Source organism: Homo sapiens, chromosome 1 (genome assembly GCF_000001405.40).
Source record: "Homo sapiens chromosome 1, GRCh38.p14 Primary Assembly".
Taxonomy (NCBI): domain Eukaryota; kingdom Metazoa; phylum Chordata; class Mammalia; order Primates; family Hominidae; genus Homo; species Homo sapiens.
Window position 1 is genome coordinate 20819390 of NC_000001.11, and position 20681 is coordinate 20840070.

Sequence of the window (20681 nt, forward strand, 5' to 3'; positions counted from 1 at the left end):
TCACTGCAGCCTTGACCTCCGATTGCTTTTTTTTTCTTTTAAACTGAAGTCTCATATTTATTTATTTATTTATTTATTTATTTATTTAGACAGGGTCTTGCTCTTTTGCCCGGGTTGCAGTGCAATGGCACTATCATGGCTCACTGCAGCCTTGACCTCCCAGGCCAAGTGATCCTTAGCGAACTAATGCAGGAACAAAAAACCAAATACTGCGTGTTCTCACTTATAGGTGGGAGCTAAATGGTGACAATACATGGACACATAGAGGGGAACAACACACACGAACCTATCAGAGGGCAGAGGTTGGGAGAAGGGAGAAGATCAGGAAAAATAACTAATAGGTACTAGGCTTAATACCTGGGTGACAAAATAATCTGTAAAGCAAACCCCCATGACACAAGTTTACCTATAGAACAAACCTGCACATGTACCCCTGACCTTAAAATAAAAGTTAAATTAACAAAAAAAGAGGACTCAGGGAGAGGGAGTGGAGAAGGAGGAAAGAGGAGAGAGGGGAGAGGAGAGGAGACAGAGAGACTGGAGACAGAAAGAAAGAGAGAGAGACAGAGAGAGAGATACTATTGGCTGCAGCAGGGAGGTGCAGCTGGGGCCGTACACTGCATGGAGCCGGTGGGAGCCCTGCCCCTTCTGAGTTGGGATGGAAGCTGCCTGTGCTACTGCAGCCACCCAAACCATAGCTGCGGACCCAAGCCTCCTGCTCTTTGGAGCAGGCAGGAGCCCTGCCCTCCCACCCAAACTGCAGCTGTGGATTCGAGCCTTTCTTGAGGGAGCAGGCAGGATCTCCCCTCCTGGGTGCTGTCGCAGCTGCCTGACCTGCGGCTGCAGACCTGGGCCTCCCGTTCCACAAAGCAGGCAGGGGACGGGAAAAGGGGGAGCCCTGCCTCTTCTGAGTTGGTGGGGTGGGAGCTCTGGGGTGCAGCTGTGGCTGCCCTCCTAGGCATGCAGCACCTGGGCGTCTCTGCAGTCAGCACCCTCGGGTGTCCCAGGAAAGACCCCCTGTCCCTGCAGGCTCAGAGTTGCCTGCTCTCTGATCTTGGAGTGGGGTTGGGACCAAGCCCCAGGGCCATGAATGGCAGCAGGAGGCAGACAGAGTCCTGGGTGGAAGGGGGCAGGGTCCCCAGTAAGGCCCCACCCTCAGGCCAGGGAGGACCTGAAGGCTGGGGGCTGGGATGCCAGTCCAGCAGAGTGGAGTAGGGGCTCATGGTGCCTCTTCCAGGCCCAACCATGGCTGCCTATGGACCAATTGGCATGCATTTCTTCCCCTCTGAGGTATAAAAGCCCTGGACTCAGCCAGAACAGGGTAGCAGATGGGCAGAGGACAAAGAGGGTAGAGAGACGATTGGAGGACCAGCTGCAGAGAAGAATGCCTTCTCTGCTGAGAGCTGCAGAGATGACCTGCCAGGAGAGAGGAGGTACCCTCTCCTCTGAGAGCTTCAGAGACCTGCAGAAATGTCCAAACGACCTGCCTGTGGAGAGGAGCTATCCTCTCCAGAGCCTCCTCTCTACAGAGAGCTGAACACTCCATGGGACAACCTGCCTACTAGAGAGGAGCTACCCACTCCTCTGAGCTGTTCTAACACTAAATAAAACTCTTCTTCACCCTTCATTTGTTTGCGTACCTCATTCTTCCTGGACACAGGAAAAGAACTCGGGCAAAGGTGCCATGGCCACAGAGGTTTCTGGCCAAAAAAATCGACACTCCAGAGATCCCGTTAACACTACTGCTTAAATACTTTTGATAGTCACAGCCCTAAAAGATACTTCAGCATGAAAGAGTTGAAATAACAGCCAGCCCCAGCACTGGCCTCTCAGTCAACTAAAAGTCAATTAAAAGACACAACCCCAATCCTTGGAAAATGAAGTCCTTATTGTTCAACCTGGCACCAGCAAGCTGCACCAGAAATGGTGTGATGCCAGTTTCCTGGTGGTCTGCCACTGGGCTGGGTACTGGTAAGTTCTATGCAAAATTCCCAAATTCACTGAAATTTATCAGACTCTTTTTTCATTATGCAATCCCCTGGTGTTGATAATGCATGTATTTAACGAGACTCCACAGTTCTAAAACAGTTGGCTCTAACAGATCTTGCCAGTTCAATAGTTGTGTCAGTGGAGGGATTGAATCCTGGAACCTCACCATCTTCCCTATTACGTATACTTCTCTATTATGTATACATCACCATCTTCCCTATTATGTATACATCACCATCTTCCCTATTATGTATACTTCTGTTATGTATACTTCACCACCTTCCCTATTACGTATACTTCCCTATTATGTATACTTCACCATCTTCCCTATTATGTATACTTCCCTATTATGTATACTTCACCATCTTCCCTATTATGTATACTTCTCTATTATGTATACTTCTCTATTATGTATACTTCACCATCTTCCCTATTATGTATACATCAGTTTTCAAATATTAAACCCACCTTACATTTCTAGGATAAACCCTACATTATTATTATTATTATTTTCCCAATATGGAGTCTTGCTCTGTCACCCAGAGCTGGAGTGCAATAATGTGATCTTGGCTCATTGCAACCTCTGCCTCCTGGGTTCAAGCAATTTTCCTGCCTCAGCCTCCTGAGTAGCTGGGATTACAGGCGTGTGCTACCACACCTGGCTAATTTTTGTATTTTTAGTAGAGACGGGGATTCACCATGTTGGCCAGGCTGGTCTCGAACTCCTGACCTCGTGATCCGCCCGCCTCGGCCTCTCAAAGTGCTGGAATTATAGGCATGAGCCACCACGCCTGGCTGATGTATTTATTGACATAAAGATTATTCATAAAATTTCCTCACCCACTTTTATGTATAGAATCTGTGCTGATGTTACCGCTTTCATTCCAGATATTAGTAATATGTACCTTCTTTTCAAACTTTTTTTCACGATCAATCTGGCTAGAGGTTTATCACTTTTATCTTCTCAAAGAACCAGCTTTTTTTTTTTTTTTTTTTTTTTTTTTGAGACGGAGTCTCGCCCTTTTGTCCAGGCTGGAGTGCAATGGTGCAATCTTGGCTCACTGCAACCTCCACCTCCTGGAGAACCAGCTTTTGATTTCACTGGTCTTTCTCTAAAAATTTTTCTATTTCATTGATTTCTGATATAATGTTTATTATTTCCTTTATTCTATTTGCTTGGAGCTTCATTTGTTCTTATTGTTCTAATTTCTTTTTTTTTTTTTTTTGGTGATAGGGTCTTGCTCTGTTGCCTGGGCTGGTCTCTCAAGCTCCTGGGCTCAAGCAATCTTCCTGCCTTGGCCTCCCAAAGTGTTGGGATTATAGGCATGAGCCATTGTGTCTGGCCTTATTTTTCTAATTCTTTAAGGTTGAAGCTGAGGTTATTGACCTTTCTTCTTTTCTAAATATCGATGATATGTTGTGGTTTTGTTTTCATTCAGTTAAAAATGTTTTTTACTATCATGTTTGATTTCTTCTTTGACCCATGGGTATTTAGAAGTATGTTGTTAAGTTTCTCAGTATGCATTGCCCTAATTCTTAAAGGTTAGTTCAGCTGCACAGGGAATTCTACATTTACTGCTCGTTTCTCAGCACTCTGAGATTATTCTACCATCTTCTGGCTTTCATGGTTGCTACTGCAAAGTCTAATTTTTTGTGTATTTTTTTTTTGAGGGGGAGGCAGGTAAGTAATGTGCTTCTTCTTCCCAGCTTCTTTAAAATCTTTCATCTGTCTTTGGTATTATGCAGTTTCACTAAAATATAATTATCCTGTATTGCATATATGGGCTTTCATTATAGATTTGTATATTTTATCACTTCTAGAAGTCTCAGCCACTGTCTCTTCAAATATTGCCTCTTCTCCATTTAGGCTAATTTTCCTTCTGGGACTCCAATTAGATAGGTTAGATGTTCTCTCATTCTTTCCTCCAAATCTCCTAACATATTAACATATCTTAGATAGCTACCTACAGATTTTGGTGTGTGTGTGTGTGGCTTTTGTTTATTTATTTTATTTTTTATTTTTGATAGGCTCTCACTTTGTCTCTCAGGTTGGAGTGCAGTGGTGTGATCGTATCTCACTGCAGCCTTAAACTCCCACGCTCTAGTGATCCTTCTGCCTCAGTCTCTCGAGTAGCTTACGACTACAGGTGCACCAATACACCTAGCTATTTTTTTTTAGTAGAGACAGGTCTCACTATGTTGTTCAGGCTGATCTCCAACTCCTGGCTTCAAGAGATTCTCTTGCTTCAGCCTCCCAAAGTGCTAGGATTATAGGCATGAGCCACTGCACCCAACCTTTTCTTTTCTTTTCAAATCTCTTTAACCATTTTGACTAGTCTCTTGTTTGCTCATTTTTGTGATTCTTTCTTTTACTATAGTGTTATTTTATACTCTGAATGATAATTCCATTACCTCAAGTCCATGGGGTCTAAATCTACTACTTATTGTCTGTTTACTTTTATCTTTACTTCTTTAATTGTATGTTAAATGAACACCAAGTGTCAACTCATATATTTAAATAATTTGGATTTGTAGAAAATAAGGGGACCTAAGTTGAGGATGTTTCTCCAAAGAGCATTTTGATTTGCTGCTTCTGGGAGCCAAGGTAATACTGAACTGGGACTAAGTCAACTTTTTCCATGACATCTGACAGCATTTGTAATAGTATCTTCCCACTGGGCTATGTGTCCTTTGGGCAATATGCCCTTCACATGTAATTACTATTCACAGTTCAGGTTTCATCTCTGGCTTTTCCCCCTCATTAATTCTTTTTGTCCCTTTGAAGGAAATTACTTCCACCTCTTCTAAGTCCAGTAACACATCAGAAGTTATGCTTCATGCAGGTTCTTATTGCTGTGGCAAGAATGCTCTTCAGTGTTCCAGACTACAACCAAAAAGAAAGCTAATGTCTGTAGCAACCTAATATAATATCTTTATCCAGAACAAAATACTTATTTTAAAGTCATTTTCAGATTGCATTCTTGTTCTCTTTTTACCTATGGTGATTTTTTTTCTCCTTATTCCTGATTTTGTTGGCTGTCTTAGCTTTAGTTTTCCTCATGAGTTTTAGGATTTTGATTTTCAGTAACGTTTTGAGAGAGTTTTGTTTTCTTTCTGTTACTTTTCTTGATCTAATTTGTTTTATGGTTACCTCAACCTAACAGCCCACAAATCCTCCTATAGGACCAGATTATACTGATCATGGGGTCTTCTGTTTTGTAGATTTCTGGATCTAGTTACCAGTCAGTAGGCAGGATAGCTAAGGTTCTGGGTATAAGACTGTGTCTACTTCCTTGCACTTATTTACCTGTGTAGTTTCAAGCTATAAGCTTGTCTCTAATCTTCTACCTTATAAGGGTATTAATGGTCTCCATTCCCCACAGAATAACTTCTGGCTGCTTCTGGCCTGCCATCAGACCCAGAAATCAGGAGACAGCTTTGGCCCTGTCACCCTGCTTTATTTGTTAACTTCATTTCTGCTTGCTGTAGCTTGTTTTTCTATAGGTTGCTAAGTCTTTTACATTTTCTTTTTTTAAATATCAATCATCTGATGACCACACAGTTGGAGTGGCTTTAAAAGCATGAACTTAAAAGGACATCTTTACCAAGATTCCTATTTTGATGCAATTTTAACGACTGGAATACGAAGGAAATTACCTTCACTTCCTCTATGAAATAGATCAACTACTATCAAACAGCAAAACATAAGCCTTGTTCTTACCTGCTCCAAAAGAAAATTATGTACATCTTCTCCTTCTGGTAAAAAGTCCTTCCAGCTGAGGTCAGCCTCCCTCCATAAGGCTCCCACTTTCTTATGGCTCTAAAATAGAGATAAATCCAATCCATTTACTTTCACAGTGGAAGAAGAAACAGAAAAAAAAAAAAAAAAAAAGATTTGCTTGAAGTCAAACAGTGCAAACCCCAAAAAGCTGAAAAATCAAAACGTTTCCAGCAGGGCATGGTGGTGCACACCTGTATAGTCCTAGCTACTAGGGAGGCTGAGGTGGGAAGACAGCTTTCACCCAGGAGTATGAGGTCTGGCCCAGGCAACACACACAGCAAGACCAGTCTCGAAAACAAACTTTTCCTCACTGATAAAAAGTTAATCTCTTAAGACTTGTGACTTTCAAACTAAGATGTCTGAATGCACATAAATACAATGGTGAATAATTGAAGTACAGCTGCTTAAGATTAAATAATTGATTTATGAGGTGACTAATCTGGGGAGCTACAGCTGGTTATTTGGGATTTATAAACATCAAAAAAAGTCCAATACACAGAGTTTATAAATTCCACACTGTGTCTTTTCCTAGATAGCTCTGTATGTATCTGCTATTAAAGCCATTCAAGAAGCCTCACTAGAATCCCTCTTCATAATAGATCACAGCCATGCTGCCTGATACAAGGAGGCTTAAAGCAGTTGTTGCTCCTGAACCAGGAATGAGAAGTGTTTCAAGGGCAAGAAGCACAAGGTTGAGCCCAAGAGAGAGAATAAAGAAGAGCTGTTGTCAGGTAGAAAAAAGTGAAGAGGTACAAGTCCTCTACCTGAAGAAAGTTACAGTGACAACGGAAAATGCCAGGTTTGAGGCTGTTGCTGTCATCTGAGAGGTATGTATTAATTACTTCATAGAGTAACTTGTCCAAGGCATAGCTGAAAATATAGTTGAACCAGAATTTGAACTCGGCCATCTGGCTCCAAAGCTTATACTATATGAGAATTTAGTTTTATTTGGAAGTAGGGTTGTGCTGTTTCTACACATCAAAGTTAATAAGAATGTGAGTTTTTAGTTATTATTATTAATTTTTGAGACAGAGTCTCTCTCTGTAGCTCAGGTTGAAATGCAGTGGCACAATCTTGGCTCACTCCAACCTCCACCTCCCAGATTCAAGCGATTCTCCTGCCTCAGCCTCCCAAGTAGCTGGGATTACAGGTGCCTGTCACCATGCCTGGCTAATTTTTGTATTTTTAGTAGAGATGGGATTTTGCCATGTTGGCCAGACTGGTCTCCAACTCCTGACCTCAAGTGATCCACCCGCCTCGGCCTCCCAAAGTGCTGGGATTACAGGCGTGAGCCACTGTGCCAGCCAGAATGTGAGTCTTTCTTTTTTTTTTTTTTTTTTTTTTTTTTTGAGACAGAGTCTTGCTCTGTTGCCAGGCTGGAGCGCAGTGGCATGATCTCGGCTAACTGCAACCTCTGCCTCCCGGGTTCAAGCTATTCTCCTGCCTCAGCCTCCTAAGTAGCTGGGACTACAGGTGCGTGCCACCATGCCTGGCTAATTTTTGTATTTTTAGTAGAGACAGGGTTTCACCATGTTGGCCAGGATGGTCTCGATCTCTTAACCTCGTGATCTGCCCACCTTGGCCTCCCAAAGTGCTGGGATTACAGGTGTGAATCACTGCGCCCGGCCAGAATGTGAGTTTTAAATAAGGACTAAAGTCAAGTAGGTCGGAGAGGAGGAAATTTTGGACATAAAAACTAGGGTTCAGTAAAAATTTTAGTGCCATTAAGCAAAGAGTAGTATTAACAAATAGTCAACAGAACTAGAGACCAGGATATTTAGTACATCTGTTTATGAATAACTACCACACAAATGGGATACAGAAGGACTTCTGTATCAGAGGGAGGAATGAAACACTGACTTTAAACATTAAAATCTATCATCCAATATCTTTGAGTCAGGCGTAAGTAAGTCAGAAATCACTCCAGAATCTTCATTTCTGAGTTCTGTTTTGTTTTGACATCTCTCATCCCTCTCATCCTAGACATTTTATTCCCTTTGTGATGCCACAACACTTCCCCAAACCTCTTAGACTTCTAACAAAGCACTTTCACTCTTTTGAAATTATTGGTTTAGATTTATCTGTTCCCACTTTATAGACTGACAGCCTGCCATAGACTGACAGCCTCCAGCTCTATGGAGCTTTTCGTTGAAATCTATTAAAACATATAAATGATATATCCATTTTGTTTCAAAGGAAGAAAAAATCAACTACAAATAAAACATGACTTGAGATTCTTTAGAATTATACCAAATCTAGTCGAGATTTGATAATTCTGCCCCAAGATATTAGCAAACAGAAGGACAAATGCACCTCAGAAAGAAACTGGGTTGAAGCAGAGACCTCATTCTTAATTACTTGCACCCTGAGACCTAAGCTATTCACAGATAACCCAAGATCAAGATCACTGCCCTTCCTAATAATACTGTTGAGTCTGACACTCAGTGTAACACTCACCATTTGTTTGCATAGTAGGTGCAATATTTCAGATAGCAAGACCCCAGCTCTTCCAACAGGAAGTAAAGGTTTGCTAAATTCTCTGTAAAAGATAGGAGCAGTGATTAAGTATCTCTAAAGAAATCCTTTCTTCTAGAACAAGAGGCAAACAATGTGTGACCAAAAACCAGATACTGTGCAACCTACATAATACTGGGCAAGCCAAAGCTCCAGGACATGCTCTAAGTCATTTTCAGGAGAAGTTCCTGAAAAGGTACATGTGAGTTCTTGGTTTTTACCTTTTTCTTTAACCACTTCAGTGACAGAAGCAACACAAAGATCAGATGTGGTAATCTGTTTGTTTATGTAAGTTCTGCTTCAAGCTAAAATGAGAAGCACCTTAGGTAACAGGGAGTTGTGATGCTTTTATAAAGTTTTTTTTTTTTTTTTTTTTTTGAGACAGAGTCTCACTCTGTCGCCAGGCTGGAGTGCAGTGGCGCAATCTTGGCTCACTGCAATCTCCAATTCCCTGGTTCAAGCGATTCTCCTGCCTCAGCTTCCCAAGTAGCTGGGATTACAGGCACGTAACACCATGCCCAGATAATTTTTGCATTTTAGTAGAGACAGGGTTTCACCATGTTGGCCAGGATGGTTTTGATTTCCTGACCTTGTGATCCGCCTGCCTCGGCCTCCCAAAGTGCTGGGATTACAGGTGTAAGCTATTGCGTCTGGCCATATATAAAGTATTTTTAAGAAAGGAAGCTTTTCTTTATAGATGAAATTATGGATGAAACAGCAAAGGGGCCAATTTTGTAACAGTCTAAATCAGCATTTACCAAACTGTGTTCCATAGGATATCTATACTCTAAGTGAGGCAATGCTGAATTAAACAAAGCTAACTAGTTTTTATTTATTGCTTTACTATAGGACTGTCATAAACTTTAATATGCTAAGTATGTTTTGTTAATCTCAAAGAAAAGGGACATGACCATGTGCAAAGTTTGACTATATAAACAACTTTTGTGGAAACACTAGTGTTTCGAAGAACAGAGTTTGGGAACCACCGGTCTATATAACGTAGCATCCATTCCCCACTCACATCCAAACGTAGGAATACTTGAGATCTCAGTTTGTTTTATTATAATCATCCTTTTATTATAATCATGAGCATGTACTATGGGGTAATGCAGTCTGACAAGTTACAATGGGAAAATATAACTACTTACAGCACTACTGCAATGATAGACACAAAAGCCAGATGAACATTAAGCTTCTAGAAGCAGTCATCTTCCAGTTACACGATTCTGGAGCCAATCTATCATCGCCACTACCCTCAACAGACCACAGGGCTATCATATCCCCAGAATATCTCAGGTGTAGACCTAGCATAAGGTAACATTTTTACACTGAAATCAGAAGTCTTAAAGAGTCACAGCCTGCATTCATGAGTCTCCAAAGGCGATAATGGGACAGTACTATGATAGAGAGCTAGCAAGTGAGTTATTAGTCAGTTCTACCTGATATATATCAAGAGAAACAAGTATAACTTACATGGTAAGTTCTCTCATGGAGATTCCACCTTCTTTTAACATGGGGGTCACCAGTTCAGCAAGGTACAACCAAATATGGGGAATATCAATGGCCATGTCATCTGCCAATTCCAAAGTTTCTGAAAAACTGAAAAGGAACAGGGGGTAAAAATCACATGCAAATGTAATTCAAAAGTTAAAATTAAATAAAGAGATAAAAAATCAGTCAACAAATACATATTAATCACCTGCTATGTTAGGTACAGTCTAGCCACAAAGTGACTGGTAAATACATTACCATTCTCAAAGAGATTATGTTAGCGTGGGGGAAAAAGACTAGAACAGACAAAAGCATACTTGCAAATAGGGCTAATACTCTGAAGAACATGAACTATGTACAAGAAGGAGGTCAGAAAATACCTCCATATAAAGGTGACATTTGAAAGCCTTAAATGATGAAAAGAAGGACAGTCCTGTGAAGTTCTAGGGGAAAAATTATCCATTTAATCCTGCACTATAAAGAATTCACCACAGTTGAATATCATATTCTCTGAGTCAGTCAAAAGCACTGACTAAACACTTACTGTAAAACACAAAAATCTGTGTCCTTGAGGAATCTTACAATGGGGAAAAAACTGGATGGATATAAAAGAGTCTGGCAACATTACTAACACTATCATCATTATTACATGTTACGAACTGTTCTATCTCTACAGAAAAGCTAATGGTTTCAGGCTTTTGTGCTATGAATTATAAATATTTCTCAATGTCAAGCAAATGGGAATTAAATATAAAACTTAGGAAAATCAAATATAAAATACCAGCACTCTTATGTAGGCTAAAAATCATAGCTGTTCATTTGGAAGTATAAACAAACAACTCAAGACTTTGTTAATTATTTCCACATACAATATATAATAAAGTACAAAAGCAAATGAATTTAACTACAGGAGACATACACATAATTGCAAGTCATAAGGAAAGGGAGGAATGAATTGAAGAGCTAAGAGCAGGTGGTAATTGTATGCATGCCCTTTCAGATCTCTACAATTGTAAAACGTGTGCTTTTCCACTGCAGTTCCAGGTTCTAGCCAAAGTATGCCACCCTTTTTTCAGAGGCCTACATCTCACTAAAACTTTTCACTTAAAAAGAGCTACCACCATAGGCAGGGTCACCATTCTGAAGCTGCCACTTCAAAACAGTTTGCAGCTCAGCCATATTATCTAACTCTGGGCTTCATGAATCCTTAATTCCAACTTTCTGACCTCACAGCTTGCAATTATTTGATGCCGAGGACGGTGTCTGTGCTATGGCAAATAGATGTCAAATAATTGCAGGTTCTCTCATTATGTGCATACTTTGGGTTCAGTTAATGTACCACTGATGAAATATAATCTAGCTGGACTCCAGGATTTCTAGGTTAACCACCTGATCCTGCCAACTCATGCTCTGTGGGCTAGCAGCATAAATTAAGCTGTTTAATGGGCCCAAGAGACAACTGTAGCCATGCTGGTCTTTCAGCAGTGTACCTGCTGCTATTTTTATCTCATATATTTTATCTCATTACAAATAAAATATACCCATATTCTTGCTTTGGTTTTTTATGCCTTGATCAGTCAGTTCATCATGGGACAGTCCACAGAACACAATCAGTGGTCAAATCTATACTGCTAACAAAAAACTTTTTTGGCTGAACATAGGATTTCCATAGAACAAGCCTGTAAGAAGCTTATTTTTTTTTCAGGTTTACAGTTCTTAAATCCTGTTGCATGATTCTAAAAGAAAAATCTTGAGTGTGCTGAAGCACCTAGGTAATAACTGTCTTTATGTCTTTGCACTACTACATAGCCTATATTAATGCTTTGCACCACACGTTATTTTCTAAAAGCTGAAAAAATGAAACAGAGCTACATCATACCCTTGCCTCTTGGCATGTAGTGACCATCACAGTCATTGGACTGTCAGGCTTTTCTTTGGGTGGAAGGAAAAAACCACAGCCACTGGACTGAACTTTGGTAAGGTCTACATAGATGAGACTGCAGATATCCCTCCGCCCATTTCAACTACAAAAGCTCCACTTCATTTTATTTACTGGGTTTTTGTGTAAAATTTTAATTGAAGAAAGGGATACATGATTAAAAGAAAAATATTAATTTTTTTTTTTTTTTTTTTGAGAAAGCCTTCAATCTTTAAAATGTTCCTGGGCAATGTGGGATGGAGGTAGAGGAAATATTTTTTCCTGTAGTACCTTAGAAGGCAGGAGAAAAAGAGCCATTGCCAAAACCAGAAAGGCCAGAAAGATCTCCCGTGTTAGTGTTAGCAATAGAATTTCCAAAGCCTCACCAGCTCCCTCCTGCCCATAAGCCAGGGAACAGCTTCTGCCAACCTGATCGATTCTTTGCCTTTGCATTTTTCTTTTTTTTTTTTTATGTTACCAGAAAATAAGGATCATTTTATTGTTTTCCTTCCAATCATCTTACTTTTTCTTTTTTTTTTTTATACTTTAAGTTTTAGGGTACATGTGCACATTGTGCAGGTTAGTTACATATGTATACATGAGCCATGCTGGTGTGCTGCACCCACTAACTCGTCATCTAGCATTAGGTATATCTCCCGATGCTATCCCTCCCCCCTCCCCCGACCCCACAACAGTCCCCAGAGTGTGATATTCTCCTTCCTGTGTCCATGTGATCTCATTGTTCAATTCCCACCTATGAGTGAGAATATGCGGTGTTTGGTTTTTTGTTCTTGCGATAGTTTACTGAGAATGATGATTTCCAATTTCATCCATGTCCCTACAAAGGACATGAACTCATCATTTTTTATGGCTGCATAGTATTCCATGGTGTATATGTGCCACATTTTCTTAATCCAGTCTATCATTGTTGGACATTTGGGTTGGTTCCAAGTCTTTGCTATTGTGAATAATGCCGCAATAAACACACGTGTGCATGTGTCTTTACAGCAGCATGATTCATAGTCCTTTAGGTATATACCCAGTAATGGGATGGCTGGGTCAAATGGTATTTCCAGTTCTAGATCCCTGAGGAATCGCCACACTGACTTCCACAATGGTTGAACTAGTTTACAGTCCCACCAACAGTGTAAAAGTGTTCTTATTTCTCCACATCCTCTCCAGCACCTGTTGTTTCCTGACTTTTTAATGATTGCCATTCTAACTGGTGTGAGATGGTATCTCATTGTGGTTTTGATTTGCATTTCTCTGATGGCCAGTGATGATGAGCATTTTTTCATGTGTTTTTTGGCTGCATAAATGTCTTCTTTTGAGAAGTGTCTGTTCATGTCCTTCACCCACTTTTTGATGGGGTTGTTTGTTTTTTTCTTGTAAATTTGTTTGAGTTCATTGTAGATTCTGGATATTAGCCCCTTTGTCAGATGAGTAGGTTGCGAAAATTTTCTCCCATTTTGTAGGTTGCCTGTTCACTCTGATGGTAGTTTCTTTTGCTGTGCAGAAGCTCTTTAGTTTAATTAGATCCCATTTGTCAATTTTGTCTTTTGTTGCCATTGCTTTTGATGTTTTAGACATGAAGTCCTTGCCCGTGCCTATGTCCTGAATGGTAATGCCTAGGTTTTCTTCTAGGGTTTTTATGGTTTTAGGTCTAACGTTTAAGTCTTTAATCCATCTTGAATTGATTTTTGTATAAGGTGTAAGGAAGGGATCCAGTTTCAGCTTTCTACATATGGCTAGCCAGTTTTCCCAGCACCATTTATTAAATAGGGAATCCTTTCCCCATTGCTTGTTTTTCTCAGGTTTGTCAAAGATCAGATAGTTGTAGATATGCGGCGTTATTTCTGAGGGCTCTGTTCTGTTCCATTGATCTATATCTCTGTTTTGGTACCAGTACCATGCTGTTTTGGTTACTGTAGCCTTGTAGTATAGTTTGAAGTCAGGTAGTGTGATGCCTCCAGCTTTGTTCTTTTGGCTTAGGATTGACTTGGCGATGCGGGCTCTTTTTTGGTTCCATATGAACTTTAAAGTAGTTTTTTCCAATTCTGTGAAGAAAGTCATTGGTAGCTTGATGGGGATGGCACTGAATCTGTAAATTACCTTGGGCAGTATGGCCATTTTCACGATATTGATTCTTCCTACCCATGAGCATGGAATGTTCTTCCATTTGTTTGTATCCTCTTTTATTTCCTTGAGCAGTGGTTTGTAGTTCTCCTTGAAGAGGTCCTTCAAGTCCCTTGTAAGTTGGATTCCTAGGTATTTTATTCTTTTTGAAGCAATTGTGAATGGGAGTTCACTCATGATTTGGCTCTCTGTCTGTTGTTGGTGTATAAGAATGCTTGTGATTTTTGTACATTGATTTTGTATCCTGAGACTTTGCTGAAGTTGCTTATCAGCTTAAGGAGATTTTGGGCTGAGACAAAGGGGTTTTCTAGATATACAATCATGTCGTCTGCAAACAGGGACAATTTAACTTCCCTTTTCCTAACTGAATACCCTTTATTTCCTTCTCCTGCCTAATTGCCCTGGCCAGAACTTCCAACACTATGTTGAATAGGAAATCAATAAATGTAATCCAGCATATAAACAGAGCCAAAGACAAAAACCACATGATTATATCAATAGATGCAGAAAAAGCCTTTGACAAAATTCAACAACGCTTCATGCTAAAAACTCTCAATAAATTAGGTATTGATGGGACGTATTTCAACATAATAAGAGCTATCTATGACAAACCCACAGCCAATATCATACTGAATGGGCAAAAACTGGAAGCATTCCCTTTGAAAACGGGCACAAGACAGGGATGCCCTCTCTCACCACTCCTATTCAACATAGTGTTGGAAGAAAAATATTTAAAAATTTTAACGCAGTAAAGTTCTGATAAGAAATCTTTCAAAAAAGCAAAATAATGCTACCACAATTGAAAGTGGTATTGTCAAAAATAACCAGAAAACAAATTACAAAATGGCAGTAGCAAGTCCTTATCTATCAATAATTATGTCACATGTAAATGGATTAAATTTTCCAATCAAAAGACTGAGTGGCTAAATAGATTAAAAAATAAGATCCGGCCAGGCGCAATGGCTCATGCCTGTAATCCCAACACTTGAAGAGGTCAAGGCAGGAGGATCAATTGAGCCTAGTTGTTGGAGACCAGCCTGGGCATTGTAGGGAGAATCTGTCTCTATAAAAAAATAAAAAAAATTAGCCAGGCATCATGATGCATGGCTGTGGTCCCAACTACCCAGGAGGATTGCTTGAGTCCAGAAGGTAGAGGTTGCAGTGAGCCTTGATTGCGCCACTGCACTCCAGCCTGGGTGAGAGAGTGTGACTCTCACAAAATCTAAAAAATAAATAAATGAAAAATGAGATCCAACCATATGCTGCTTATAAGAGATTCACTTTACTACTAAGGACATTCATAGACTGAAAAGGAAGAGAAGGAAAAAGATATTTCATGAAAATAGAAATCAAAAGAGGGCAGGGGTAGCTATACTTATATGAGACAAAAAGGACATTAAGTCAAAAACTATAAAAAGAGACAAAGGTCATTATGTAATGATAAAGGAATCCATTTACTAAGAGGATATAACAGTTATAAATACATATGCACCTCAAATTGGAGTACCTAAAAACATAGGGCAATTGATTATCTGAAGGGAAAGACAGACTACAATACAGCAAGAGCAGGGGACCTCAATACCCTTCTTTAGACAATGAACAACTCATCTAGACAGAAAATCAGTAAGGAAACATTGGGCTTGAATTATACTTTAAACCAAACAAAAATATACAGAACATTCCATTAAACAGCAGCAGAATACATATTCTTCTAAAGTGCAAATAAAACATTCTCCCCAATAGATCATATGTTAGACCACAAAACAAGACTTAACAAATTTAAGAGGACTGAAATCATATCAAGTATCTTTTTGGATCACAATGCAATAAAACTTGAACTCAGTTAACAGGAGAAACCTTGGAAAATATCCAAATATGTGAATATTAAACAACATCTGCCTAAACAACCAATAGGTCACAGAAGAAATTAGAAAGGAATTTTTAAAAAATATCTTGAGACAAATGAAAATGGAAACACAACATACCGACACTTATAGAATGCAGCAAAAGTGCTCCTAAGAGGGAAATGTATAGCAATGAGCATCTATATCAAAAAAGAAAAAAGATCTCAAACAATATACCATTCATTACACATCAAGGAACTAGAAAAAGAAGAACAAACTAAGCCCCAAATTAGCACAGGGAAGGAAATAACAAACATCTAAACAGAAATAAATGAAATAGACACTTAAAAAATGAAAGAAAAAAATCAATGATACTCGGAGTTGTATTTTTGGAAAAATGAAGAAAATCAAGAAACCCTTATCTAGACTAGGAGAAAAGACAGAAGACTCAAAATAAGAAATGAAAGAGGAGATATTACAACTGATACCACAGAAATACAAAGGATCATAAGAAACTACTATGAACAATAAATGGATAATCTAGAAAAAAACAGATAAACTCATAGATATATACAACAAATCAAGACTGAATCATGGCCAGGTGCACTGCCTTAAACCTGTAATCCCAGCACTTTGAGAGGCCAAGGTGGAAGGATCATTTGTCTAGGAGTGCAAGACCAGCCTGGGCAACATAGTGAGACACCATCTCTACAAAAAATAAAAAATCAGCTGAGCACAGTGGCATGCACCTACTGTCCCAGCTACTTGAGAGGTTGAGATGGGAGGATCACTTGAGCCCAGGAGGTTGAGGTTGCAGTGAGCCACGATGAAGCCACTGCACTCCAACCTGGGTGACAGAGCAAGACCCTATCTCAGAGAGAAAAAAAAAAAAGCCCAGGACTAGATGGCTTCACTGCTGAATTCTACCAAACACTTGAAGAAGAACAAATTCTTCTCAAATTCTTCCAAAAAATTGAAGTGGAGAAAATACTTCCCAAGTCATTTTACAAGATCAGTATGGCAATCCTCCTACCTCAGCTTCCTGAGTAGCTGCAGCTATAGGCACCCACCACCATGCCCAGAGAGTTTTTGTATTTTTTGGTAGAGATAGGGTTTCACCATGTTGCCCAGGCTAGTCTCAAACTCCTAGGCTCAAGCAATTTGCCCACTTTGGCCTCCCAAAGTGTTTTTTATTTTTAAAGATAGGATCTCACTCTGTTGCCCAGGCTGGGGTGCAGTGATGCTCTCGCAGTTCACTACAGCTTGAACTCCCGGGCTCAAGCAATCTTCCTGCCTCAGCCTCCCAAGTAGCTGTAATTATTGGCACGTGCCACCATGCACAGCCAATTTTTTTGTTAATTTTTTTTACAGATGGGGTCTTGCTATGTTGCCCAGGCTGGTCTTGAACTCCTGGCCTTAAGCCATCCTCCCATCTTAGCCTCCCTGGTAGCTGAGATTACAGGAATGAATCACTGTGTCCAGCCTACATAGGGTCTTTTACCAATGTAGAATTGCCGTAAGCAGTAATAAAGGTTCCAGAAAAGTATTCAAGGAAGAGATAAGAATTTCCTCTCTAACAAAACATCTCCCAAAGTGAAATATTAATGTATCAATCTTCCTCTAGGGTACATATTTTGTGTCTATTGTCCACTCTAATTTTTACAACCTTGGTCTTCATTTGTTTATTATACTTTCAAAGTCATTCCAGTTCTGTGACTAACAGCAAACTGCACTCAACTATATTTACTAGACAGTTTTTAAAAAGAAGTTTTCTGAAATCATGATATAAAAAGACTATCAACACACTGTTTGAAGTGCATGTACCTATACAATAATGCTTCTACCTATCTACCTACCAACCTAACTAGGGTCATAAAGTATTTAGATTCAAGTCCTGAAAATATCAGGACGATGGCTTGATGTTTTCTTTGCGGAGATATGTTTCACATACAGCAACTATTATGCTCACAGTTGATATAACATCTTGTAAGGAAAATTCCAAAGGACCTAAAAGCTATATTCATAAAGCCTATTTGAAACTTTTGTCTATTTTACTACTTTGCAGCAGTGCATACTCTAAAGAGCTATAGGGAGAAATGGCAGATTAGTAGCTACCTCACCAGGGACCAGTATACCTGGAGGCTTTCTGCTTTTCTTTTTTTTTTTGAGAAGGAGTCTCTGTTGCCAGGCTGGAGTGCCATGGCACAATCTCAGCTCACTGCAACCTCTGACTCCCTGGTTCAAGCAATTCTCCTGTCTCAGCCTCCCGAGCAGCTGGGATTACAGGCATGCGCCACCATGCCCAGCTAATTTTTGTATTTTTAGCAGAGACGGGGTTTCACCATGTTAGCCAGGATGGTCTCGATCTCCTGACCTCGTGATCCACCTGCCTCGGCCTCCCAAAGTGCTGGGATTACAGGCGTGAGCCACCGCGCCTGGCTGGCTTTCTGCTTTCTAACCTTCCCAGAGTTATCATTGGCTTGGCGAGCTAGGCAGAAACTGCTTCCCCAACTGTTCAGAAGTTGACATCTAAGCAGTAGCAGCACCCAAAACAGCTGATCTCAGAGGCTCTTCCACAATACTATGGAAGGACAATACTATCTTTGTAGGTTAAGAATAAAGAAGCAAAAGACAGGGTATCTTCATGGCTCCAATGAAATGGCCTCTCTAGACAGTATGAACCATTTATAACTCAGGCTTTAGAAGGGATTGTGAAATTCTGATCTGCTTGCAAGAAAGCTCTTGGTGGACACTGACATGAAGCAATCCCTACATTTCCCTCTTAGAAAAAGGTGGCACTAAATTGTCAGGCCTCTCCATTTAGAATAAAATAGTACAACTTTTACATGTCTTGGTCTAAGGTCCAAGACTGGTTAGGTCTAAGCATCGAAGGTTAGGCCTGGAGTCACTGCACTGCCTCTAGCTGCAGACGGAAGCAGGTATGGTGAAACATGAAGTAATTGCTGAGACACAGAAGTGTTAACCTCATTTTATGTCTAAATAAAAGGTAGTAGTGTGGTAATTATTGCCGGCAACAGCAATTCTAACACCAACAACAAAACTGTAGCCACGTCTGGTTATGATATTTTTTCTTCAGAGAATCCCACAAAGGGAGAAATGCAAATGTCTGAGATATCCGAGAGACTAAGCTAGTATCTCACAAGTTCAATTATAGCCAATAAAGGTAGACTATGCTTCTGGGCATCTTTATAGATATGAATCAACTTCCGAGTATAGTTTGAAGAGACAGAAAATGGTAAATGATAATTTACCATTATCATTTCCAGAATTTTCTGAGGAATGTAGCATAATATCTGGGTAATAAGTAACTATTTATAAATGGATATCCTCGTCACTCCAACAGTATTATTTCTAGGAAATTATAGTTTCAAGTCTGCTGGGAGGACCATATTCAATCTGATTGTGAGGGTGTACATACCTTTATTTGCTCTTACCATTTGCACTGGCTAGTTACTGGACTGAATTGGAGGCTTCTCTTTTAAAACTGGGAAACCATCCTGGCCTTAAAAACCAATAACCACAGCAACTTTTGCCAAAGTGTCTTACTAACTGGTTCAAATGGCCTTAATTCAGAGCAATCTAGCTTATTGCTGAAAGAAAACTTTTTTTTTTCCCCAGACGTGGTCTCATTCTGTCACCTAGGCTGGAGTGCAGTGGTGTGATCATGGCTTACTGCAGTCTGGACCTCCCAGGTGCAATCCTTCTGCCTCAACCTCCCAAGTAGCTGGGACTATAGCGGCACACCACCATGCCTAGCTAATTTTTATATTTTTAGTATAGATGGAGTTTCACCATGCTGCCCAGGCTGGTCTTAAACTCCTGGGCTCAAGCAATCTTCCTGCCTCAGCCTTCCAAAGTGCTAGCATTACAGGTGTGAGCCACCATGCCCAGCCTGAAAGAAAACTTCTTTTTTGAGAGGGAGTCTTGCTCTGTCGCCCAGAATGGAGTGCAGTGGCGCAATTTCAGCTCACTGCAACCTCCACCTCCCTGGTTCAAGAGATTCTCTTGCCTTGGTCTCCGGGTAGCTGGGATTACAGGTGCGTGCCACCACGCCCGGCTAATTTTTTGTATTTTTAGTAGAGGCGGGGTTTCACCATGTTAGCCAGGATGGTCTCGATCTCCTGACCTTGTGATCCACCCGCCTCGGCCTCCCAAAGTGCTGGGATTACAGGTGTGAGCTACGGTGCCCAGCCTAATTTTCATATTTTTAGTAGAGACGGGGTTTCACCACGTTGTTCAGGCTGGTCTCGAACTCCTGACCTCGTGATCTGCCCACCTCGGCCTCCCAAAATACTGGGATTACAGGCGTGAGTCACCACGCCTGGCAAGAAAACTTTTTAATGGTCCTAGGGGCAAGTATAAATTTTCTAGGACCTAGAAGACAACGCTGTCATTGCTTGCAAAGTCAAACGAATAAATTCAACAATGACTTTTTTGTTTTTTAGAGACTGAGACAGGCGGAGTGCAGTGGTGCAACCTTGGCTCACTGCAACCTCTGCCTCCCGGGTTCAAGCGATTCTTATGCCTCAGCCTCGCAAGTAGCTGGGATTGCAGGCTCACGCCACCACGTTGGGCTAATTTTTGTATTTTTAGTAGATGTTGGCATGTTGGCCGTGGCTGGTTTCAGACTCCTGATCTCAAGTGATCCACCCGCCTCAGCCTCCCAAAGTGCTGGGATTACAGGTGTGAGCCACTGCACCTGGCCAACAATGACATTTAATGGTTACCTTATTCTAAAAGGATTGCCATATGTGAAATGACTACGGAAAAATATACAGTGGCATTTAATCATATGTGCATTTAATTTATGAGAACATGAGCTTGGCAAAAAAAAAAAAAAAAGAGGAAAATTACAAGTAGTACAGAATTCTTACTGCCATTTGATTCAATAAGCATATGTCCAGGTGAGGATGAGATGGCAGATGTTAATCCAATGTCCAGACCTTAGGAGATCCTAGTTGCTATTCCCTTAGAGAGTGGGCATCTG

At 40.5% G+C, this 20681-nt stretch overlaps 1 protein-coding gene across 62 annotated transcripts in view, besides 2 other annotated features; it reads right to left on the reverse strand.

The window, feature by feature from the left end:
- Positions 1-20681, reverse strand: part of EIF4G3 (eukaryotic translation initiation factor 4 gamma 3) — a 370606-nt gene that overhangs the window by 13098 nt on the left and 336827 nt on the right. For all 62 annotated transcript variants that reach the window (XM_047433321.1, XM_047433366.1, XM_047433324.1 and 59 more), the window contains 3 exons: positions 9758-9883; positions 8228-8309; positions 5711-5809 (listed from right to left, as the gene is read on the reverse strand). In XM_047433321.1, the coding sequence (XP_047289277.1) occupies positions 5711-5809; positions 8228-8309; positions 9758-9883 (307 nt within the window). The remainder of the gene's footprint in view (positions 1-5710; positions 5810-8227; positions 8310-9757; positions 9884-20681) is intronic.
- Positions 480-980: an enhancer, noted in NCBI's record as "H3K4me1 hESC enhancer chr1:21146362-21146862 (GRCh37/hg19 assembly coordinates)". NCBI's record gives its function as "activates a minimal SCP1, AML or CMV promoter by ChIP-STARR-seq in primed H9 embryonic stem cells {active_cell/tissue: H9 hESC(primed)}" and the evidence as "EXISTENCE:reporter gene assay evidence [ECO:0000049][PMID:30033119]".
- Positions 981-1481: an enhancer, noted in NCBI's record as "H3K4me1 hESC enhancer chr1:21146863-21147363 (GRCh37/hg19 assembly coordinates)". NCBI's record gives its function as "activates a minimal SCP1, AML or CMV promoter by ChIP-STARR-seq in primed H9 embryonic stem cells {active_cell/tissue: H9 hESC(primed)}" and the evidence as "EXISTENCE:reporter gene assay evidence [ECO:0000049][PMID:30033119]".